Source organism: Homo sapiens, chromosome 2, assembly GCF_000001405.40.
Source record: "Homo sapiens chromosome 2, GRCh38.p14 Primary Assembly".
NCBI classification, from domain to species: domain Eukaryota; kingdom Metazoa; phylum Chordata; class Mammalia; order Primates; family Hominidae; genus Homo; species Homo sapiens.
Window position 1 is genome coordinate 96,836,096 of NC_000002.12, and position 22,507 is coordinate 96,858,602.

General features: G+C 51.9%; 3 protein-coding genes across 3 annotated transcripts in view, besides 8 other annotated features; 1 reads left to right on the forward strand and 2 right to left on the reverse strand.

Moving 5' to 3' along the window:
- CNNM3 (cyclin and CBS domain divalent metal cation transport mediator 3) overlaps positions 1–1,371 on the forward strand; it is a 21,199-nt gene extending 19,828 nt beyond the window's left edge. The window contains exon 8 of the mRNA XM_011510957.4: positions 849–1,371. Within this exon, the coding sequence (XP_011509259.1) occupies positions 849–901 (53 nt within the window). The 3' untranslated portion in view covers positions 902–1,371. The remainder of the gene's footprint in view (positions 1–848) is intronic.
- Positions 1,230–1,786: an enhancer, noted in NCBI's record as "H3K4me1 hESC enhancer chr2:97503062-97503618 (GRCh37/hg19 assembly coordinates)". NCBI's record gives its function as "activates a minimal SCP1, AML or CMV promoter by ChIP-STARR-seq in primed H9 embryonic stem cells {active_cell/tissue: H9 hESC(primed)}" and the evidence as "EXISTENCE:reporter gene assay evidence [ECO:0000049][PMID:30033119]".
- Positions 1,787–2,341: an enhancer, noted in NCBI's record as "H3K4me1 hESC enhancer chr2:97503619-97504173 (GRCh37/hg19 assembly coordinates)". NCBI's record gives its function as "activates a minimal SCP1, AML or CMV promoter by ChIP-STARR-seq in primed H9 embryonic stem cells {active_cell/tissue: H9 hESC(primed)}" and the evidence as "EXISTENCE:reporter gene assay evidence [ECO:0000049][PMID:30033119]".
- ANKRD23 (ankyrin repeat domain 23) lies at positions 1,817–7,926 on the reverse strand. The gene is made up of 9 exons (NM_144994.8): positions 7,871–7,926; positions 6,270–6,416; positions 5,965–6,090; positions 4,692–4,817; positions 4,321–4,419; positions 4,137–4,235; positions 3,902–4,000; positions 3,632–3,730; positions 1,817–3,549 (listed from the first exon to the last, which is right to left on the reverse strand). Exons 1-9 carry the CDS (start codon positions 7,895–7,897, stop codon positions 3,454–3,456), a joined length of 918 nt encoding a protein of 305 aa, NP_659431.5. The 5' UTR covers positions 7,898–7,926; the 3' UTR covers positions 1,817–3,453.
- Positions 3,481–3,540: a silencer, noted in NCBI's record as "silent region_11779". NCBI's record gives its function as "represses an Ori minimal core promoter by ATAC-STARR-seq in GM12878 lymphoblastoid cells {active_cell/tissue: GM12878}" and the evidence as "EXISTENCE:reporter gene assay evidence [ECO:0000049][PMID:35858748]".
- Positions 3,681–3,780: a silencer, noted in NCBI's record as "silent region_11780". NCBI's record gives its function as "represses an Ori minimal core promoter by ATAC-STARR-seq in GM12878 lymphoblastoid cells {active_cell/tissue: GM12878}" and the evidence as "EXISTENCE:reporter gene assay evidence [ECO:0000049][PMID:35858748]".
- Positions 5,373–5,978: an enhancer, noted in NCBI's record as "H3K4me1 hESC enhancer chr2:97507205-97507810 (GRCh37/hg19 assembly coordinates)". NCBI's record gives its function as "activates a minimal SCP1, AML or CMV promoter by ChIP-STARR-seq in primed H9 embryonic stem cells {active_cell/tissue: H9 hESC(primed)}" and the evidence as "EXISTENCE:reporter gene assay evidence [ECO:0000049][PMID:30033119]".
- Positions 9,117–9,306: a silencer, noted in NCBI's record as "fragment chr2:97510949-97511138 (GRCh37/hg19 assembly coordinates)". NCBI's record gives its function as "represses an EF-1alpha promoter that drives an FKBP-Casp9 reporter gene in an ReSE screen in K562 erythroleukemia cells {active_cell/tissue: K562}" and the evidence as "EXISTENCE:reporter gene assay evidence [ECO:0000049][PMID:32094911]".
- ANKRD39 (ankyrin repeat domain 39) lies at positions 11,895–21,921 on the reverse strand. Its single transcript, NM_016466.6, has 4 exons — positions 21,793–21,921; positions 18,243–18,346; positions 17,306–17,509; positions 11,895–12,349 (listed from the first exon to the last, which is right to left on the reverse strand). Exons 1-4 carry the CDS (start codon positions 21,890–21,892, stop codon positions 12,206–12,208), a joined length of 552 nt encoding a protein of 183 aa, NP_057550.3. The 5' UTR covers positions 21,893–21,921; the 3' UTR covers positions 11,895–12,205.
- Positions 21,582–21,751: a silencer, noted in NCBI's record as "silent region_11781". NCBI's record gives its function as "represses an Ori minimal core promoter by ATAC-STARR-seq in GM12878 lymphoblastoid cells {active_cell/tissue: GM12878}" and the evidence as "EXISTENCE:reporter gene assay evidence [ECO:0000049][PMID:35858748]".
- Positions 21,782–22,451: a silencer, noted in NCBI's record as "silent region_11782". NCBI's record gives its function as "represses an Ori minimal core promoter by ATAC-STARR-seq in GM12878 lymphoblastoid cells {active_cell/tissue: GM12878}" and the evidence as "EXISTENCE:reporter gene assay evidence [ECO:0000049][PMID:35858748]".

Below are 22,507 nucleotides of genomic sequence, written 5' to 3' on the forward strand. Positions count from 1 at the left end.
TTTCCTGAGACAGAGTCTCACTTTGTCACCCATGGTGGAGTGCAGTGGCACAATCTTGGCTCACTGTATACTTGACTTCTGGACTCAAGCAGTTCTCCCTCTTCAGCTCCCCATGTAGATGGGACTATCACCACACCCAGCTAATTTTTTTTTTTTTTTTTTTTGAGATGTAGTTTCACTCTTGTTGCCCAGGCTGGAGTTCAATGGCGTGGTCTCGGCTCACTGCAACCTCCGCCTCCCAGTTCAAGTGATTCTACTGCCTCAGCCTCCCGAGTAGCTGGGATTACAGGCATGTGCCACCACGCCTGGCTAATTTTGTATTTTCAGTAGAGATGGGGTTTCTCCATGTTGGTCAGGCTGGTCTCAAACTCCTGACCTCAGATGATCTGCCCGCCTCAGCCTACCAAAGTGCTGGAATTATAGGCATGAGCCACCATGCCCAGCCTATGCCCAGCTAATTTTTTATAGAGATGGGGTTTCACCATGTTGCCCACACCTGGTCTCAAACTCATGAGCTCAAGTGATCTGCCTGCCTCAACCTCCCAAAGTACTACAATTACAGGTGTGAGCCACCGTGCCCGGCCATCTTTTCACCCTCTTAACAGGGTTTTATACAGAGCAAAAGTTTTCAGTTTTGATAAAGTCCACTTTACTGATATTTCCTTTATGGACTGTTGCTTTTAGTGTTGCATTTAAGAACAACTCTACCTAGTCTTAGATCCCAAAGGTTATCTGTTTTTTCCTAAAAGAAGTTTTATAGTTTTAAATTTAAGTATGCATGTGAGCCATGTTAATTTTTGTATAATGTGTAAGACTTAGGCTAAAGTTCTTTTTTTTTAATCCTATAGCTGGTCCAGCTGCTCCAGCACCGTTTGTTGAAAGGCTGTCCTTCCTCCATTGAATTACTTTTGCACCTTAAAGTCAGCTGGGCATATTTGTGTGGTCCTGTTCCCGTGATGATCTCGGCTCTGTCGATCTGTGTGTCTGTGCCTCTGCCAGCATTGCACTCTTGGTTCACATAGCTATATAGTAGATCTTGAAATCAGCTGGACTGATTCCTCCTCTCACTCTATTCTTTTTCAAAATATTTTTGCTATAAATTTGTATATGAATTTTAGAATAACCTTGTCTACATCTACAAAACATCTTCTAGGATTTTGATAGGAACTGCATTTAACCTGTATGTTAATTTGAGGAGAATTGATATCTTTACTGTATTCTGTCTAGCAATCCATGAACATGGCATGTCTATTTAAATCTTTGATTTCATCACGTTTTATAATTTTCAGCATACAAGTCCTTGCATATTTTGTTAGATTTAAACCGAAGTATTTCCCTTTTTCAGCAATTGTAAACAGTACATATTTTTAACTTTTGTGTCTACATGTTCATTTCTAGGAGGTAGAAACAGGTTTTTGTGTGTTTATCTTGCACCCGAGATTTTGCTGGACTCCCTAGTTGTCTGCTTTCTGTAGATTCCTAGGATTTCCCACATAGACAAGCATGGCCTCTGCATGAGAATACCTGGATCCTCCCCTCAGGGCTTCTGACTTAGGGTCTGGACATCAGGACTTTTTAAACCTTCCTGGTGATTCTGATAAGCAGCTGAGGTGGAGAACCACTGCTCTTTGACCTTGTCGTCAGTGAGCAGAGGTGCCTTAAGCACAAAAGCCTAGTGCCAGGACCCCGCATCCCGCCCACTCTGCACTCGGCCTATCTTGCTGTCGGCCGGCATGGCTAACAGGCGTGGGCCCTATCAGACAGTCCCTGGTGACTGAAGCATGGGCTCCTCTCGGCCCAGGAAAGACGGCTAGGCTGTAATGGATAGCCAGTTTTAATGAACAGAGGATACTGATTGGTATAAAAAGGTGTGTTTGTCACTGAGGTGTCCTCATTTTCTAGATGAGGAGTTGTCTTCTCCATGGTCTTGAACGCCTGCTTCGCCATGGCACCAGCGTCTGGGTGCACGCTGGCTGTCGCCACAGGGCAGGAGCTGCTCATGGAAAGGTGTGTGCCCCTAGTGTGCAGCACTGGTCAGCTTTTCCACATAGTAACAACAGCCTTGTTCTGGGCCTGAGAAGGCCCCCAAAGGTAGACGAAAAGGAACCATGGCCAAATGCCTATCAATCAGCCCGGTACCTAATGTAACCCAGGACCCATGTGAGGGAGGCTGAGCCTTCACCTTTCAGCCCTTCCCTCAGCATGTGGTTCTCAGTTTAGGGCAGAGCTTCTTAAGATTCACTTTCTGGCGTTTAGGGGCCCAGCCCCACCAGCAGTACAGGCCTACACCAGTGTAATTTGAAACGTACAGACGGTGGAAGAGGAAGTCTAGGGAGCTTGGGTCCTTAGACCACCAGGGAGCAGGGAAGGGATGGGAAGGGCTGGGGGGCGGCGGGGGCTCACCTTCCTCTGCTTCCCTGTGGGCTGGGTTCAGAGCTCCTCAGTGTCCTGGCCTCCCAGGTGGGATCAAGCAGGGTGGGTGCAGCTGCAGCGTTCCAGGCAAGAGCTCAAGCTCCAGTACCAGGAACATAAGGGGACATAAGGGCCTCAGGCAAACTAGGGTTACGGGCCACTGCCCCAAGAGTTGAGTGGGCCACAAGCAATCCCCAGTGCCCAGGCGCTTCCCCATGAGAGCCGCCAGCAGGCAACGGTGTGCCAGGCCGGCCTGAGCGGGGCCAGTACACAGTGGGTGCGAGGCTTCTCTCAAATGCGCGCTCCAGCTCATCAGTCTTAGGGCTTCTGAGGCAACCTAGTGGGTCCTGGACTTCTGTTGCTGTGGGGCCTCAAACCTGTTGAGTAGCCACCTCAGATGACCAGAACCCACCTCCAGAGTTCCTATGACCAAAGTTGTCTAGAGCCGCTCCGGACACTGCCAGGGTTGCTACTGACAGGAATGGGGTCCCCAGAGAAAGCCATGCCCACAGGCATCCACCAGCTGCAGACAGGCCCGGCCCCTGCATGGCCTGCCTTGGCTGCACCTTGTACATCCTGGATGGCATCTGCCGGCCACGGGCTGAGTCCCCACACACACAGACTGGCCCTGGAGAGAGCAAGGCAAGCCCCCTAACCTGGGACAAGTGGACACTGAGGACTCCCAGACCCAGCCCTGGGTGGCTCCAGCTTGGGACTGCTCCCTTAAGGCTCGTTCTTGGCCCTCACTCTCCTCCCCTTCCTGGCCCTCATCTGGACCCGCGCTTTCTGCTGCCTTGTGGTCCTCTGCTCCAGCCCTGGGAGGGAACGCGGCTCCCCTGACACTCGAAGCCAGGGAGGCCTCTCTCTTTGCCTGCTGGGCCCGGTGCCGCTCTTCAGTTCTGCCAGGGCTGCTGAGGCGGCACAGGCCAGAGAGGGAGGAACCAGGGCTGAGGGCAGGAACCACAGAGGTGCAGACGCGGGGGCGGGGCACAGGATGGAATGGTGGCAGTGCGAAAGGCGCGGCGGGGGGCGGTGCTGCGGTCAGCACCGGGTGCGGGGATGCGCCACGTGGGCCTGCAGGGCCTCCCGGATGCCGCGCTGCCAGTCTCGAGCCAGCTGCACCGGGGTCACGGAGGCCTGGGAGCAACGGTGTGGGTCAGTCCCTTGCAGGCGCTCCACCCGCCCTCGGGTCAGGAGCCAGGGCTGCGCCCACACTCACCGCGTTCCGCACCCCCAGCTCGGCCCCATAGAGCAGCAGTAGCTTCATGGCTTTGTAGCTGCCGTGCCGCACGGCCTCGTGCAGAGCCGTGTCCCCTTCCTGCTGAGAACGCAGGCAGTCAAGCTTCTGCCTCCGCGTGCTGCCCTCCTCATGCAGGAAGGTCAGGGCTGCTGTCACCGAGCAGACAGCACCTCTGGTCCTGGCTGGGGCTCCTCAGTCCCTGCTCCTCTGGAGCTGTCCGAGCCGGAAAAGACCAAGCGCCTGCCTTACCTTATCCTGTGCGTTCAGGTGGGCGCCACACTCGATGAGGTGCTCCAGGCAGTCGGGGTGCCGGGTGCGCACTGCCACGTGCAGGGGGGTGCTCCCGATCTGAGAGCAAGTGGGGGTCAGTGCTGGGTCTGGATTGGTGAGGCCTCCCTAACCCATGGGACTACGTGCTCTCTTCTCCAGGAACAGCGTCTGCTCCCGTGTTCCCGACAGGCCCCCAAAGCACCGTGCCCCTCACCTTGTCCCGGGCATTGACCCGGGCTCCCTGGTTAAGCAGCTGTTTGAGGATGACCAGATGTCCTCCGCGGCAGGCCCAGAACACAGGTGTCCTGTCCAGCTGCAAAACAAAAGCACCCAAGCACTCAGCTGCTGGGATGTGAAGCTGGGCGTCGACCAGAGGCTGGGCCTTTCCCCATCCTCACCAAGTCTCGCGCGTCCACTGTGGCACCTGCCACCAGCAGCTTGTTCACCAGCTGGCTGTGACCCTTCAGACAGGCCCAGTGCAAGGCGGTGCGGTGGAGCTGAGGGCAGAGATGGAAGATTAGGCAGAGGGAGTGCAGCCACCCCTAGAGACCCCACGCGGTCCCCTTCCCAGGGCCAGGTCCCTGAATGGAATTGCCACTTCCCCCACCACGCGATGGGCCGCTCCCTCTCCTCCGTCTGCAGGTGCCACTGGATTCATGCCCATAAGAGTGAAAATCCCTGCAGCCTCCTAGGCCAGGACTTGAACACACTGAAGGCAGCGCTCCTGCAGCTGCAGCTGCTGCCAGCCGACTCACCCAACCTGTGCTACCTTGTCATGGGCATTGGGGTCCCCTCCGTCTGTCAAGTACTTGTCAATCAGGTACTCCTGGTTCTCAGCAGCTGCCTTCAGGAACATCTCCAGGCCCACAGGCTCCACCTGGGCCTGGGACTGCGGCTGGTTCAGTTGAAGACAAGACCAAATCACTCCCGAAGGCCGCAGGTGCCCAAGATGTCACAGCTTCACCAGTCTGGCCCACGGGTCCCATGCAGCCCACCAAGGAACACTGCTGGCTCGTACTAATGCAGTTTCTTATTCTAATCCCACGCCAGGAGATTGAATAGACTGTGTGTGTGTGAGCGTGTGTGTTATGGATTGACTTGTATCTCCCCAAGATTCGTATGAAGTACTAACCCCAGGTACCTCAGAATGTGACCTTATTTGGAAACAGAGTCACTGAGGATGTAATTAGTTAAGATGAGGTCACACCGGCGTATGGTGGGCCCCTCACCAATATGACTTGTGTTAAAGTGGGCTCTAATCCAATGTGACTGATGTCCTTATGAAAGGGGACACGTGGGCCGGATGCGGTGGCTCATGCCTGTAATCCCAGCACTTTGGGAGGCTGAGGCGGGCAGACCACAAGGACAGGAGATTGAGACCATCCTGGCTAACACGGTGAAACCCCATCTCTACTAAAAATACAAAAAAAAATTAGCCGGGCGTGGTGGCGGGTGCCTGTGGTCCCAGCTACTCGGGAGGCTGAGGCAGGAGAATGGCATGAACCCGGGAGGCAGAGCTTGCAGTAATCCGAGATCGTGCCACTGCTCTCCAGCCTGGGCAACAGAGCGAGACTCCGTCTCAAAAAAAAAAAAAAAAAAAAAAAAAAAGTTGGGGGAGACACATGGACACAGGCATGCACACAGGCAGAACGCCCAGCAAACATGAAGGCAATAGTTGGGTGATACATCTACAAGCCAAGGAACGCCAAAGATCACCAGCATCCACCAGAAGCCGGAGAGGCATGAAGGGATTCTCCCTCACCACCCTCAGAGGGAACCAGCCTCGCCAACACCTTCCTGTTAGCCTTCCAGCCCCCAGGACAGCGAGGTGACACATGCCTGCTGTTGAGGCTGTCCAGGCTGTGGGACTTTGTTATGGCAGCCCTGGCGGACACATCCGCGGGGGCTCTGGAGTGGATTTAATGGGCTCCCCAGGCACTGGCTGTGTGGTCCTGGCCTGCAGTGCCCACTCTGCCCCAAGCCCTTCCTCTGGAACTGGAGCCCTGGTGTGTGCACTGCCCTAACCCCGACCTCCCACTCACCTTAACCAGGGGCTCAGGTTTCCTGGGGGGGACTCTGTGTCTCAGTCGCTTTTTCCGTCTTTGAACCAAGTTTTCCAAGTCAGCCAGGTTATCCAGATTAAATCTGGTACTGTTAAATCTTTCAAGCTGGGGCAGAAGACAAGACCATGCCAGCCATCAGCCGCTGGTCAAGAGATCTCTCTGCCCTGCCGACAGGAGACACCAGCTGCTCAGGCTGCCCCACCAGAGTCCCTCCAGGCCTCACTGCTCAGCCGGCCTCAGGGATTAGCCACTGCCCCCAACCCCGGCCCCCGCCCCTCTCTCACTTTCTTCTTCTTCTCTTCTTCCAATTTCAGCTTCTCCCGGGCCACAGCCTCTTGGGGGCCCCTCCTCCAGTCACTAGGCCAGGCTCCAGGGTCAGGAACTCCATGTCCAAATCCCAACACTTTCCCTTCAACTCTTTCTCCACTTACCTGTAGGAACAGGATATGAGTACTGAGTTGGGAAAATTGGAGGAACCCTTAGAAAACAGAGCTGTGGAGTAGCAGGGAGCTGTCTTATAAGGGCAGATGTCACAAGGCTGGTGCCCGGGATGGGAGCCGGCCTCAAAGCTCCTGCAGTCCAGAGTGCTGGCAAGCTCCCTCACCCTGTGGGTGCTGCAGGCTCCGCAACTGTGTCATCAGCTGACACCCAGGGGGACAACGGATCCCCGCCTACCCTGCTCCTGTCAGCAGGAACACAGCTGGGGGGACATGAGGCCACAACCTATTTATACTGCTGGGCATTTGCCCAGGTAGCCTCAGGGCAGATGACACCTTAGCTTCCCCCATGTTGTTAAGATTCCTACCAGATCATACTGACTGCCACCTGACTCCAAGCTCAGAGGGACAGAGAAGTCCCCCCGGGGTAAAATTCTAAATGCCTGGGTTCAGTTCTCGGCTCCTTTTGAAGCTACATTTAAGCTCAAACACTTAAGGCAATTGCCTAAAGGAGTTGTGAAGGTTATGAGTTATTGGGACCTGTGCCTGGGGCAAAGCCTCCGTAGCAAACACCCATGCTTCCTCCCACCGGGCCCCACCTCAGGAGTTCAGGAGCTGGGGAGCACTGAGGAATCAGCCTGTTGTGGGGAAAGAACAGGGTGGAATGATAGGGTAACAGATCCTAGGACTTTCTAGTCAGGTAGAACCATATTCCTTCTAAAGAACTCTAGCAACCTAACACCTCCCTGCCATTTGCCTCCCGCCAGAGGCTGCACCAGGCTGGGGCCAGCAGCCCACAGATGGGCTTGCTGGGCCTCACACCCTCCAGGCCCCTCGTCACTCAAACCGACATCCCTAAGAGTCACTGTTTCCCTCACTGCCCAGGGAGCGAAAGAGCACCCTTCCCTATCCCCAAGGCAGCCAGGACCTCTGGCCATTTCCAGAGCAACAACTATCATGGTGCTTAAGCTGAACTACAACCACCACAGCCACACTTGCATCTTCCAAAGTAACCTGCCATTTCCTGTTCCTCTTTCACCATCACTATCCAGGGCAAAACTCACTGAACTCAAGGATTTTCATGTCTTCTTTCCCATTCGACTTCCCTCTCTTGCTCCCTAACCCCCTCACCACCTCACATGAGAACCGAGCAGACACACCAGAAAGAACCGCACGCTCAGCCGGGTGTGGGGGTACACGCCTGGAGTCCCAGCTACTTGGGAGGCCCAGGTGGGAGGATCACTTGAGCGTGGGACTTCAAGGCCAGGCTGGGCAACACAGCAAGACTCCGTTTCAAAAAATACAGATTTTTATAAAAGAACTGCATGCTTCCCTGCACCTAAGACTTGACCCTCACACCACAGAAAGAAGCTGCCAGCCCTCTCTAGCCAGCCTCCTCCTATCAAGCCGGTCCCAGGGTGCCTCCCACCTCCGTCCCACATCCTTACCAACTGCTGAATGCTGATGAAGTCCATGGTCCCCCCTGTTCCTCACACCCCCCAGTGAGAAGAGCTGAACTGCTCAGCCCTTTATAGGAGCGCCTGGAGACGGGCAGGGGTGGACAGGGAAGGACTGGCGCAGGTGCAAGCCCCTGGGCCAGATGACTCTGGGACTCTGTCACACCAACTAAAATACCAGTCTGGGAATGCAGCCCACTGGGGAAAAGAAAAGGAGCTGTTTGGAGATGAGTTGGCTGCATCCTCGGACACCCACTCCTGCACCTCTGCCATGCCCCACACCTACTCAGGGGCCATTTAACCAACACACTGCTAGCCCAGATTCGGGTGAAACGTGTTCCCCTCTCCTAAGTTTAGATGCCACTCCTGAAGAAAGCCCAGCCTGGGCCTCCATGTTGTAGGGCCGGCTGCCTGTGAACCTGAAAGCCCAGCCTAGGTGGCTGAGCAAGGAGGCTGGAAGCCTGAGGGGGTGGTCGGGAGGGGCAGGAGCGGCCAGCCTACAGCCTCAGCCCTCATGGTGGCCACGTGAGGAAACCGTGATCTCCCAACTTGCAGTTTCAAGGCTGCCCTTCCCTTCCCTGTGCTGTGGGTTTCTCGCCCCCGGGCTCCCCCGCTCCTCCCTCAGTGCTCTGAGAGCACATGGCAGCTGCCCCAGCCCCGAAGCCAAGCCTGGCGCCTGTCCTCGGGCCTCTGGAAGTCCTCCCCGCCCCTCTACAAGCCCCTACCAGACGCTCTCCAGGGACGGAGTGTGCCCCTCCAGCCACAGGAAAGGGGAGACTGATCCGCGTCAGGTCCCGGGATGGAATAGTAACCATGAAATCCAGCCGCAGAGCAATGTGTCTCAAGCCATCAGTCACCCTTCCTAATTCTCAGGAAGCCAGGCATGCCCTTCACCCAGCTGAACCTTGAACTCCGCCTTGGCCTTTGCAAGGAAATCAGCCAGTAAATAAGACCCCAAAATCGGAGCAACCTGAGAAGACATGACCAGGGTACAAGGAGGGAGAACTGTGGCCAAGGATGGCCACAGGCCCCAGATGGCTCCCCAGCTCCCAAAGAACTGGCCTCTTGGAAGGGCTTCCACATTTTCAGAGAACTCAGGAAAAGGCAGAGCTTTCTTAGAAAACTCAGTTCTTGGCCCGGCAACAGTGAGACTCCGTCTAAAAAAAAAAAAAAAAAAAAGTTTTCTTTTTTTTTTTAATTTTTTGAGACGGAATCTCGCTCTGTGGCCTGGGCTAGAGTGCAGTGGCGCGATCTCAGCTCACTGCAACCTCCACCTCCCGGGTTCAAGCAATTCTCCTGCCTCAGCCTCCCGAGTAGCTGGGATTACAGGCACCTGCCACTATGCCCAGCTAATTTTTTATATTTTTAGTAGAGACGGTGTTTCACCATGTTGGCCAGGCTGGTCCTGAACTCCTGACCTTGTGATTCACCCGCCTCAGCCTCCCAGAGTGCTGGGATTACAGGCTTGTGCTATCGCGCCCAGCTGAAAACTTAGTTCTTAGGCTAAATTTAGGGTGCTTTTTTCAGACAAAGGTGTTCCTTGCTTTTTTTTTTTTTTTTCTTTTTGAGATGGAGTTTCACTCTTGGTGCCCAGGCTGGAGTGCAATGGCGCGATCTTGGCTCACCGCAACCTCCACCTCCCCGGTTCAAGTGATTCTCCTGCCTCAGCCTCCCGAGTAGCTGGGGTTACAGGCACGTGCCATCACCCTGGCTAATTTTGTATTTTTAGTAGAGATGGGGCTTCTCCATGTTGGTCAAGCTGGTCTCAAACTCCTGACCTCAGGTGACACCCAGCCTGTTCCTTGCTTTTGGTTATGAGGAGGGAAAGAGTCATCTAAAATGAGGGCAAAGGGGCCGGGCGTGGTGGCTCACACCTGTAATCCCAGTACTTTGGGAGGCTGAGGTGGGCAGATCACCTGAGGTCAAGAGTTCGAGACCAGCCTGGCCAACATGGTGAAACCCCGTCTCTACTAAAAATATAAAAATTAGCCAGGCACCTGTAGTCCCAGCTACTTGGGAGGCTGAGGCACAAGAATCACTTGATCCCTGGAGGTAGAGGTTGTGGTGAGCCAAAATCGCACCACTGCACTCCAGCCCGATGACAGAGCGGGACTCGGTCTCAAAAAAAAAAAAAATAAAATGAGTGCAAAGAAACAAGAAAAAGTAAGACTGGCCACCACTGTCCACTCCAACTCACAAACACCCCTCAGCACGTGGCACTGGAGGAGCGGCGTTTTGCACCCCCAGGCTTCAGGGAAGTTCTCAATAGAAAACCCATTAGTTGTCTCATATGACTGGTATTAACTCTGACTTAAAAAAAAAAATCAAGCCAGAAACAGTGTGTTGAGCAAGAAAGGAAAAAAGATTCCTTATTAAAAGTTCAAACATAAACAGAAGGCTCAGGACCTCCTTGACTACCTCTCTTGCCACGTGGCCCAGGAGAAACCATGGCTGGCAGTTTAACAGCCACCCTCCTGCTTCTGCTCTGTGCATTTTGTGGATGCACATCCACGTTTTTCTTTTCTTTTGAGACAGGGTCTCACTCTGTTGCCCAGGCTGGAATGCAATGGCGCGATCTCGGCTCACTGCAACCTCCACCTCCCGGGTTCAAGCGATTCCCCTGCCTCAGCCTCCAGAGTAGCTGGGATTAGAGGCACCTGCCACCACATACGGCTAATTTTTGTATTTTTAGTAGAGACAGGGTTTTACTGTGTTAGCCAGGATGGTCTCGAACTCCTGACCTTAGGTGATCCTCCCACCTCGGCCTCCCAAAGTGCTGGGCTTACAGGCGTGAGCCACTGCTCCTGGCCTACATCCACGTATAGATCCATACATTTATACATGATCTTAGCCAAAAGGCTGAGAGGCAATCACATTCTACAGGCATGTTCTGTGTGAAGGGGGTCCCACTGTGGACACGAGCAGCAATATCCTGTCAGCACGCTGCGCTCTGCTGTGCAGCCGAGAACTTGGATCTGCAGAACTCAACCACTCCCTATCAGGGAGGAGTCGGTTCTCTCTTTTTTTTTAACATTACTCCCCATGCTCCAATGCACATATTTGTAAATGCTCCTGTAAATAAACATCTTTGTAACCATGGAAGAACATCTCTCTACATAGCTACAGAGAAATCAAATTATTGGTTCTGCTCATTTAAATTTAAATAGATACTGTCAAACTGCCATCTACAGTAGCTGTACCAATTCCCATGAATGGATATCAAGAAACAAAGACAGCACTTTGGGAGGCCGAGGCGGGTGGATCACGAGGTCAGGAGATTGAGACCATCCTGGCTAACACGGAGAAACACCGTCTCTACTAAAAATACAAAAAATTAGCCGGGCCTGGTGGTGGGTGCCTGTAGTCCCAGCTACTCGGGAGGCTGAGGCAGGAGAATGGCGTGAACCTGGGAGGCGGAGCTTGCAGTGAGCCGAGATCACGTCATTGCACTCCAGCCTGGGTGACAGAGCGAGACTGCGTCTCAAAAAAAAAAAAAAAAAAAAGAAAGAATAAAAGAAAGAGCATAAAAGAAAAAAAGGGAAAAAATTAAATGTACATATATAGAACAAAGGATCAGGATCTAGAATATCAACACTCCTATGAATCAATAAGAAGTGTTTCTAAAATCGGCATGGGTAGGCAGCTCACAGAAGACACAGGTGCTCAACCTCACTAGTAACCAGCAATGAAAAACGAAACAGATGAAACAGCACTTTTCTCCCATCGGACCGTTGCAATCAATGAAATCATGGTATGCGCAAAGTGCTGATGAGGAGCTCGGGAAGCGGGCCTCCCTCAGGCTGCTTGCCACGTGCCAGGCACTCTCTCGAGGGCTCTCCCAGTGCACACTGACCTCCTCCCACAATGACTCTGAGGCGGGCCCTATGATAACCACTCTCATTACAGAAGAGGAAATGGAGGGGCAGACAGCTAAAGTGACTTTTACCAAGGGCATTCAGCTAGAAAGCAGCTTCTCACATAGTCCCTACTTTCTTCTAATACTTACATAGTTTTGTGTTTTTATATTTAGATCTTTAATCTTGCAATTTATCTTTGGGTGTGGGATGAGGTAAGGATATAACTTTATTTTTTTCCAAATAAATAGATGTCTCATATGAACTAATTTAGAATATGATCATCTGTCCAGTCTTAAACACTTTTAGCCACACCAAATCTACTCCCTCGCTTCCACAGTGACCAGACTGGGGCTCTTCCTGGGTGGTCTGGCCTCAGTTCCCTGCCCAGCAGCATGGATGCTGACCAAGGCAGGGGCTTGGAGAACTGGTCTGTGTACCCTTTAAAGGCAGCTGGAGATAGGGTGGCGGCTCAGCTGGATAGCAGGTCCCGCAGGTCACTGTTGCAAGGCAGCAGGTCACATGCTAGCCGTGCCTTTCGGTCCCGGATGGCCTTCAGGGCTGGGCTGTGTTGCAGGAGGAGGGAGCAGATGTCCCCGTGACCCCTCTCAGCAGCCTGTGGAGAGAAAGGCTGGAATCAAAGGGCATACCCCCCCACTGGGCTCTGCTCTCTCTTGTTCCACTTTCAGTGGTTCTTCCTTCTAAAAAAGAGGCCTCTCTGGGCGCAGTGGCTCACGCCTGTAATCTCAGCACTTTGGGAGGCCAAGGCAGGCGGATCACAAGGTCAAGAGTTCAAGACCAGCCTGACATGGTGAAACCCCATCTCTACTAAAAATACAAAAATTAGCCAAGTGTGGTGGCACGTGCCTGTAATCCCAGCTACTCAGGAGGCTGAGACAGGAATATCGCTTGAACCCGGGAGGCGGAGGTTGCAGTGAGCTGAGATCATGCCATTACACTCCAGCCTGGGCGACAGAGCGAGACTCCAACTCAAAAAAAAAAGAGGCCTCATGGAAATAGACACAGCTGTTTGAGTAGATTTCTTCTAATTCCTACCAAATCCCAGTGACTTTATTCTGATTTGTGGAGTATCCCAGTGCCATTCTCGCAGTTAGCTTGAGTTTTTCTTTCTTGTGTCCTTTGCCAACTGTCTTTGGCCAGACCTACACATTAAAAACAAGTACAGCACCTTGTATCTCCAGGCATCTCTCACAAACCTGCACACATCACCTAGAGGGTGCTGTGCACTGTGGGCACAGGAGGCACCAGACACGGCCCCTACCCATTGGGAATTTTATTTATTTATTTTCTTATATTTTTAAATTTTTATCATTGCATTTTAGAGACAGGGTCTCACTCTGTTGCCCAGGCTGGAGTTCAGTAGTGCAATTATAGCTCACTGCAGTCTGCAATTCCTGGGCTCAAGCGATCCTCCTGCCTCAGCCTCCCAAGTAGCTGAGATTGCAGGCGTGCACCACTACACGTGGCTAACCTTTTTTTAAAAAATAATTTATTTTGAATTTTTAAAAATAGAGACAGGGCTGGGTGCAGTGGCTTATGCCTGTAATCCCAGCACTTTGGGAGACTGAGGTGGGCAGATCACTTGGGGTCAGGAGTTCGAGACCAGCCTGGCCAACATGGTGAAACCTCATCTCTACTAAAAATACAAAAATTAGCCAGGCGTGGTGGCATGTGCTTGTAATCCCCGCTACTCGGGAGGCTGAGGCACGAGAATCGCTTGAACCTGGGAGGCAGAGGTTGCAGTGAGCCGAGATCGCGCCACTGCACTCCAGCCTGGGGGACAGAGCGAGACTCCATCTCAAAAAATAAAAATAAAAAAAAATAAGAGACAGGGTCTTGCCATGTTGCCCAGGCTGGTCTCGAGCTCCTGAACTCAAGCTATCCTCCCACCTTGGCCTCCCAAAGTGCTGGGATTATAGGCATGAGCCAAAGTGCCTGGCCAGGAAACTTTTAGATTGGCAGGGAAAGACTGGGGCCTAGTTCCCTGTGTTCTCTTCTTCTCTTTTAAGGTAGGAGACCCCAATCCAGATGTCAATTTCTAACCTACCTCCCCCCAAAAATAATAGAGTTAAGTGATTTACATAGACTATCTTATTTAACTTTCAAAATAGCCCTCACAGGCAAGAATCATCATTATTCCCATTTTACAGATGAAGAAATGCAGGCTTAATAAATGCCTTGCCCAAAGTCACAGGGCTAACGTGTCCACCTGGGATTCTAAACCAGGTTTGCCTGAACTCTTATTAACTCTGTGAACCACTATTATTTCCTACTCCTCCCAACAGACAAATTGATAGACTATAGGGCTTTTGAGAGGTATCAAAATTAACACTAGTGGCAACCACTATCCCAAATTGGAATCCAAATCTTTACTCAGCTGGTCCTCCTAATGAGTACAGACACAAAGCTCTCAATTCCACTGCCTTAATTCAGGCAGTGGGATGTTGTCAGCAGTTGTGAGATGCATCCCAAATAATTTTTACAAAAAATAAAATACCAGTGTTTGCAAATAGTTTTAAAAGACACATACGCAGGCCAGGTGCGGTGGCTCACGCCTGTAATCCCAGAACTTTGGGAGGCCGAGGGAGGGGGGATCACCTGAGGTCAGGAGTTCGAGACCAGCCTAGCCAACATGGTGAAACTGTCTCTACTAAAAATACAAAAAATTAGCCAGGCGTGGTGGTGCGTGCCTGTAATCCCAGCTACTTGGGAGGCTGAGGCAGGAGAATCGTCTGAACCCAGGAGGCAGAGGTTGCAGTGAGCTGAGATTGTGCCACTGCACTCCAGCCTGGGCAACAGAGCGAGACTCTATCTAAAAAAACAAAACAAAACAAAAAAAAAAACAAAAACATACACAATAAAGAAAAATTCACATATCTCACATTTGCATTATCTGCATGAGAGAAAAAGGGATGGAGATGCACCTAACTATGGGTAACACCAGCCAGGTATACCCACAACAGCATCCTGGCTGTTTATATCTGTCATGTGAGTTGTAGCAGTAAAACGTCTGAGCAACACCATTAAAAATAAACAATCTGTCTATCCAATTGGCAATGATTTCTTTAAAAACCCAACATTTAGCTGTTCACTCAGCACGTATTCACTGGGCACCTATGCCCTATGCTAAGTGCTAAGGCTGCAATGTTTTTTTGGGTTTTTTTGAGACGGAATATCTGTGTCACCCAGGCTGGAGCCCAGTGGTGTGATCTCAGTTCACTGGAGCCTCCACCTCCTGGATTCAAGCGATTCTCGTGCCTCAGTCTCCTGAGTAGCTGGAATTACAGGTGTGTGCCACCACACCTGGCTTTTGTTTTTTTTTTTGAGACAGAGTTTCGCTCTTGTTGCCCAGGCTGGAGTGCAATGGCGCGGTCTCGGCTCACAGCAACCTCTACCTCCCAGGTTCAAGTGATTCTCCTGCCTCAGCCTCCTGAGTAGCTGTGATTACAGGTACGTGCTACCACGCCCGCCTAATTTTGTATTTTTAGTAGAGACGGGGTTTCTCCATGTTGGTCAGGCTGGTCTTGAACTCCCGACCTCACGTGATCTGCCCGCCTCAGCCTCCCAAAGTGCTGGGGTTACAGGCATGAGCCACCACACCCGGCCTAATTTTTGTATTGTTAGTAGAGATGGGTTTTGCCATGTTGCCCAGCCTGGTCTCGAACTCCTGGACTCAAGCAATTAGCCTGCCTTGGCCTCCCAAAGGGCTGGGATTACAGGTGTGAGCCTTTGTGCCCAGCCAGGCTGCAACAATTTGAACAGGACAAAGCCCCAGCTGTCTCTACTGAGATACGCAGACCCCAAACAGGGAATTTCCAGGGGTACAGGAATTAGGAAAAGTTGAGTCCATGGCATACAGCTAGGCATACATCCAGGTGAGCTCACCATGTCTAGGGATCAGGAAAGGCTCTCGTGGGGTGTGATGTGTAAGCTGAGATCCAGAAGAAAGGGTAGAAACAAGCCACATAAAAAACGGGAGGGGAGAGGCACCCAGACAGGGGCTAACTTGTTAAATATGGCTCTGGGGGGACAGAGTAGTAGGTTCAAGAAAATTAAAATGGCTGGATGTGGTAGCTCATGCCTGTAATCCCAGCACTTTGGGAGGATTGCTTGGGCCCAGGTGTCGAGACGATAGTGAGAGACCCTGTCTCTACTACTACTACTAATAATTTTAAAAGCCTGGGCAATGTGGTGAAGCTGTTTTTAGAAAAATTAGCCAGGCATGGTGGCATGCACCTGTAGTCCCAGCTACTTGGGAGGCTGAGGTAGGAGCATTGCTTGAGCCCAGGAGGTCGAGGCTACAAGTGAGCTGTGATTGTGCAAGTGTACTCTAGCCTGGGTGAAAAAGTGAGACCCTGTCTCAAAAATAAAATAAAATAAAATAAATTAGCTGGTCATGGTGGTGCAGGCATGTATAGTCCCAGCTACTCAGGAGGCTGAGGTGGGAAGATCACTCAAGCCCAGGAAGTCGGGGCTGCAGTGAGTTATAATCATGCCACTGTACTCCAACCTGGGTGACAGAGTGAGACCCTGTCTCAAAAAAAAAAAAAAAAAAAAAGAGAAGAAAAAAGAAAAATTATTAGTAGGGCCTCTGAGTGTAAGAGACCAGGGGACAAGAGCTCAGGAGAAAACTGGAGGGGTGGGGAAAAAAGACAAAAAAGACAAAAAAAAAAAAAAAAAACCTGGAGAAGGGGGCAGGAGCAAACCCCAGGAAACCTTCACAATAACTCATGGACCTGGAAAAAGCAAGCCTCAAGGACTCCAAGTGGGGGCGTGGCATGATCAGAACTGCTTTAAACAATCGCTCCAGGAGAAAATCAAAGAAGGGGCAAGAGGGGACTAGATTTACACATGATTTACACACATATATGATTTATACACATATGCCACATATGCATAGACCGCCTCTCAAAGGTGCCTGCAAACTCAGTAAAGTGGCCGAGCAGGGTAGCTCACACCCGTAATCTCAGCACTTAGGGAGGCAGAGGCAGGAGGATCAATTGAGCCCAGGAGTTTGAGACCAGCCTGGGCAACACAGTGAGACCCCATTCCCCACAAAAAAGGAAAAGCAATCGGTAAAGTGAACACCTCAAAGGACGGGCCTAGAAGGCTGAGGGATGAGGAGCTGGGTGGGAGGGAAACTCGCTTTCATGGCATGCCCTTGTAGACTCTTCAGATTGTTTACCATGTGCAGGTATTTCCAGCTAGAAAGAGTTTAATTAAATGATCACTCCGGCTAACATATAGCAAGTGGACTACAGGAACAGGCAAGAGTATGTATAAGTTTCAGAAAACTATATGGAAAAGGCTTCATGACATGTCTCTAAGGGAAAGAAAACTAAAGTGCCACTGTACATTTTAATTTACACGCTCAGAAAAAAGGCTGGAGAATTACCCATTAGTCCTAAAGTGATGACAGGTGAGCAAGGGAATTACAAATGATTTTAACTGTCTTCTCTCTGATTTCCTGTTTTCCCCATGTTTTCTACATGAACATGTTATAACTTTAAAAATAAGGAAACGACATTTTTGGAAGGGGGAACGGGCCCACCTTATGCAGACTGGTCATGCCGTCGTCATCCACCACCCTGGGGTTGGACCCATGTGATAGCAGGAGCCGCGCGATTTCAGTGTGCCCGCAGTAGCTGGCTCGGTGCAGAGCAGTGGCACCCCCGTGGGTCTGGGCATCACACTTAGCTCCGCTTTCCAGCAGGAACTGGCACACAGCGTAGTGCCCATTGCGGCTGGCATAGTGCTGCAGGGAACAGAGACCGAGGTCAGATGGGAGAAGCCAGGCAGGTGACAAGGGTGGTATAGAGGTGAGAGCATGGCCTCCCTGCAGCGAGGGGCCTGGAATCATCTCAGGTGCCAACCCCAGCAGTCGTGTGACCTGGGCAAGCTTCTGCGTGACTAACCTGAGTTTGTTCAATTGAAAAATGGGGAAAATGATCATTCCTATCTCAAAGAATTGTTACGAAAATAAAACTAAATCATTGGCTGGGCGCAGTGGCTCATGCCTGTAATCCCAGCACTTTGGGAGGCCGAGGCAGGCGGATCACCTGAAGTCAGGAGTTCGAGACCAGCCTGGTCAACATGGTGAAAACCCATCTCTACTAAAAATACAAAAATTAGCTGGGTGTGGTGGCACATGCCTGTAGTCTCAGCTACTCAGGAGGCTGAGGCAGGAGAATCGCTTGAACCTGGGAGGCGGAGGTTGCAGTGAGCTGAGATCGCATCACTGCACTCCAGCCTGGGTAACAGAGCAAGACTTCATCTCAAAACAAAACAAAACCTAAATTATTGATGTAAAGGTCTCACACTAATTTAAAAAATCCAGGTTCATATGATGCTTAAAAAGAGAAATTTTGCTGGAAGAGAAGAAAGGGAGGGAGGAGGTAAAAGGTAACCATCAGTCCCCCTCCTCAGAGAGCAGGTGTCTCCTGAGTTAACGCTTCTGTCTCCTGACCCTGTGCTCCTCCCTAGCTCACCAGCGCAGTGTAGCCGGCCGAGTCGGGCTGACTTGGGTCCTCGGCCTTCTGGATTAAATGCTTCACTCGGCCCAGGTCTCCATTCAGGGCTGCCGACCAGATTCCTGCAGAAAGGCAACCAAAGGACTGAATGATGCTGAATGGGAGTTTCAGTGCTTGCTTTGCCTCTTGACCTCAGTTTTCTTGTCTATAAAGTGAAGAATATTCATTCCTTCAACAAATATCAACCGAGCACCTCCTCTGTGTCAAGGTTTGTTCTGAATGCTGGTGACTTAGCTGTGAACAAGACAGATGGGCACATCTCATCAGGACAGTAGGACTGGGCGGACACAGACATCTCCATCCCACTTCAAACACAGAAGTGCTGGATGAAGTAATGTTTAAAATGTTTGGATCTAGAGTGAAATTCAGGTCGGGCTGGGATTACAGGCGCCCACCACCATGCCCAGCAAATTTTTCTATTTTTAGTAGAGACAGGGTTTCACCATGTTGGTCAGGCTGGCCTTGAACTCCTGACCTCAAGTGATCCATTTGCCTTGGCCTCCCAAAGTGCTGGGATTACAGGCGTGAGCCACCGTGCCCAGCCAGAAACAACTTTTAAAAAATATAATGATGCCTCCAGAAGGCTGCCAAGGCAGTGTGACAATCTCCCACAGAAGAGGATCTCCCTGGTGAGCACAAAGACTGAAAGTTGCAAAACAAGAAGCAATCTGCTGCCCTAAGAGACAATCAGCAAATATAGGTGAGATGAGGGGAGTTCGGGGAGTTCAGGGTGGCATGGCGACAGACAACAACTAGCAAATACAAGTGGGAACACGCATGCCTCCAAAGTGAGCCATTATTGCACAATCCAAAAAAGACCTTAAAACAACAACATTGAAGGTGTTCACAGAGACAAAGGGATAGAATCCACAAATCAACAGAACATTAGGAAAAACAAAACAGCCAGATCTGAAACAGGAAAGTTGATAAATTAAAAAACAGACTCATTGAAACAAAACAACAACAATAGATGGGTCAAAGAGTACTGCAGACCTAGTCAAAGAGAATTAGTGATTTGGAATTCACCCAAAATGTAGTACAAAATGATAAATAGAAAAATATTGGCCAGGCGCAGTGGCTCACGCCTGTAATCCCAGCACTTTGGGAGGCCGAGGCGGGTGGATCACGAGGTCAGGAGATCGAGACCATCCTGGCTAACAGAGTAAAACCCCGTCTCTACTAAAAATACAAAAATTAGCTGGGCTTGGTGGCACGCGCCTGTAGTCCCAGCTACTCAGGGGGCTGAGGCAGAAGAATCGCGTGAACCCAGGAGGCAGAGGTTGCCGTGAGCCAAGATCGCACCACTGCACTCCAGCCTGGGCGACAGAGCGAGACTCCGTCTCAAAAAAAAAAAAAAAGATATATTACTGTGCGGATCACGAGGTCAGGAGATCAAGACCATCCTGGCTAACATGGTGAAACCTCATCTCTACTAAAAATACAAAACAAAATTAGCCGGGCATGGTGGCGGGCGCCTGTAGTCCCAGCTACTTGGGAGGCTGAGGCAGGAGAATGGCGTGAACCTGGGAGGTGGAGCTTGCAGTGAGCCGAGATTGCGCCACTAAAGCCTGGGGACAGAGCCAGACTCCGACTCAACAACAACAACAACAACAAAACAACAACAACAACAACAAAGAGTTACTGTAGTGAAGCGGATTAACAAATCTCACAGTTTCTTTTATTTGTGACAACAGTAGCTAAAACTGGCTTATCAAATACACTCTTCCCATTAATGTTTTAAAGAATGTATTTGTTTGCACAAAAAAATGAGGAAATTGTTTGCGGTAAAAATTGTTTTTTATGAAAGCAAGATGCCGGGTGCGGTGGCTCACGCCTGTAATCCTAGCACTTTGGGAGGTCAAAGCGGGCAGATCATGAGGTCAGGAGTTCCGAGATCAGCCTGACCAATATGGTGAAACCCCGGTCTCTACTAAAAATACAAAAACTAGCCGGGCGTCGTGGCACACGCCTGTAATCTCAGCTACTCAGGAGAATAGGAGAATCGCTTGAACCCAGGAGGCGGAGGCTGCAGTGAGCCGAGATTGCGCTACTGCACGCCAGCCTGGACAAAAGAGGGAGACTCCATCTCAAAAAAAAAAAAAAAAAAAGCAAGATGATGGATACATCAGAGTAACTGGCCTAACTTTGGATAAGGCAATGTTTACTTCTTAACAGCACAATTGACACTTACGGGCCGGATGATTATTGTAGCGAGCTGTCCTGTGCATTGTACCATGTATACAGCATCTCTCATCTCTACCTACTACACGCCTGTAGCACCCTCCTGATTGTGACAACCCAAAATGTCTCCAGATATTCAAAGTCCCTTAAAGGGCAGAACTGCCCCCAGTTGAGAACTGGGGTGTTTAGGGAGGGTCTCTGAGGAGATGACATTGGAGCTGGGATCTGAAGAAAAGCATCAGCTAGCTTAACGGTTGTAGGAAGTTCATTCTAAGGAGATGGGACAGCAAGTCCAACGGCCTTAACTCAGGAAAAGGTCTTGCATATTTGAGACACCAAAACAAGACCAGTGTGGCTGCGGCGTAGTGATTGGGGGAAGAAAAGCATGAGAAATAAAATGAGGAGGAGAAGTAGAACCGGCAGGGGTGGGTCTACAGAGCTTTGTAGGCCATAACAGGGAATGATGTGATTTCTAATTTTCAAAAAGCCGCTCTGGCTGCTATGTGAGAGTAGAAAACCCTGTAGGAAGGCAAGCGTGGAAGCAGAAAGACCCTCTGAGGCAACCACTTCAGCAGTGCAGAGGACAGCGGTAGGAGGGGCGGAGGGAAGTAGGCAGGTGCCAGAACCACGGTAAAGGAAGAGTTCCATGAGAATGCTTACACAGCAGTGGCAATCGAGGGCTGCATCCGCAAGGGCAGATGACACAGCACAGTGGTTCCCAACGCTCACAAGAAGCACCCTGGTTTCCCGCCTTCCTCTGTTCCTATTGGCACCATAATCTCTGTATAATCTGGGCCAAACGTGTTACCTCTCTGGGTCCCACAGATGAGATACTGTGCCCTGCCTCGAAGGCTGCCCGTGCGAAGCTCTTGCCATCTTTAAAGCATGCAGGCTGCCTGGCACCCGGGGCTAAACAAAGGCCACTGCTCTCCTTCACCGCGCAGCCCCCAGGCCTGCAGCTCCATGCCCCTCAGGTTGGGTGCAATGCCCCTGGTGCAGATTCTGCTCCCCGGGCCCTCTCTCAAACACCTGAGCAGGCTTGTGTCTCCCAGGGGAGGTCGTCCCCCGCTACTCGGGAGGGTTACGGAAACCAGTGCTTCCGCTTCCCCGCCGCCCGCGGGACAGGTGTCTCCTGGCCGAGCTCGTGCGGGGCCCTGGGAGGCTCTCAGTACACGGGAACCGTGGGTCCCGCCCGCCTTCCCGCACCAGGCCCCAAGCCCCAAGCCCCAAGCTCTCGGGGCCCCGTTCATCCGCCTCTCCTTGGCCCCACGCCTCCTCCTTGGGCCGGGGCCTGGTGAGAACCACGAGGGCCGCGCGGCAGCCTCACCCCTCTCGAAGTCCATCTCCTCCAGCGTCTGCTGTACGCCGAGCACCGCGCTGGGATGCGAGCAGCAGGGCCCGTCCGCGCAGGGCCGAGGCGTCGCCATCCCGGCCCCGGCGTCAGTCGATCCGCCCCGGGTCTCAGGCTCAGCCTCGGCGGGAGGGGCGGACGCAGGGCCCGCCCCGCGTCCCTGATCTGGCCGCTCGGCGTCCGCGGCTGTCGCCCTAGTCCCGCCTTCTCGCCAAAGCTGACCAATCAAACGCCTAGGCCTTAGCTCGAGAACCAATTGCAACGGTAGGGCGGGGCTTGTTGCGCCCGGCCGTGCCCCGAGGCCTCCGCGCGAGGGCGTCCAAGGCCAAGCGAGGACTGAGGCGCTGGGTTCCGGGAGCCGCGCGCCGCTGGAGGGCCGCCGGGCCGCCTGGCCTTGCAGGGTGTGGGGATGAGGCAGCTGGGTCCGGTCGGGAGCTTTCCCGTTACCTTCGCCATGACCCAGCCGTCCAGCGACCTCGCAGCCTCCTCTCTTTACCGCCCCTAGTCCCTAGGGCAGGGAGGCGCCACGCGCTCCGCGGTCTTTTTTTTTTTTTTTTTTTTTTTTGAGACGGAGTCTCGCTGTCACCCAGACTTGTGTGCAGTGGCGCGATCTCGGCTCACTGCAACCTCCGCCTCCCGGGTTCAAGCGATTCTCCTGCGTCAGACTCCTGAGTAGCTGGGACTACAGGCG

Coding starts and splice junctions, on each gene's coding strand:
- ANKRD39 (NM_016466.6), bottom strand. CDS start 21,892: ATGGCGACGCCTCGGCCCTGCGCGGACGGGCCCTGCTGCTCGCATCCC. Junction 18,347..21,792: donor GGAGATGGACTTCGAGAGGG/GTGAGGCTGCCG, acceptor GCCTTTCTGCAG/GAATCTGGTCGGCAGCCCTG. Junction 17,510..18,242: donor CGGCCGGCTACACTGCGCTG/GTGAGCTAGGGA, acceptor TGTTCCCTGCAG/CACTATGCCAGCCGCAATGG.
- ANKRD23 (NM_144994.8), bottom strand. CDS start 7,897: ATGGACTTCATCAGCATTCAGCAGTTG. Junction 4,420..4,691: donor ACCCCAATGCCCATGACAAG/GTAGCACAGGTT, acceptor CTCTGCCCTCAG/CTCCACCGCACCGCCTTGCA. Junction 4,001..4,136: donor GGGTCAATGCCCGGGACAAG/GTGAGGGGCACG, acceptor ACTTGCTCTCAG/ATCGGGAGCACCCCCCTGCA.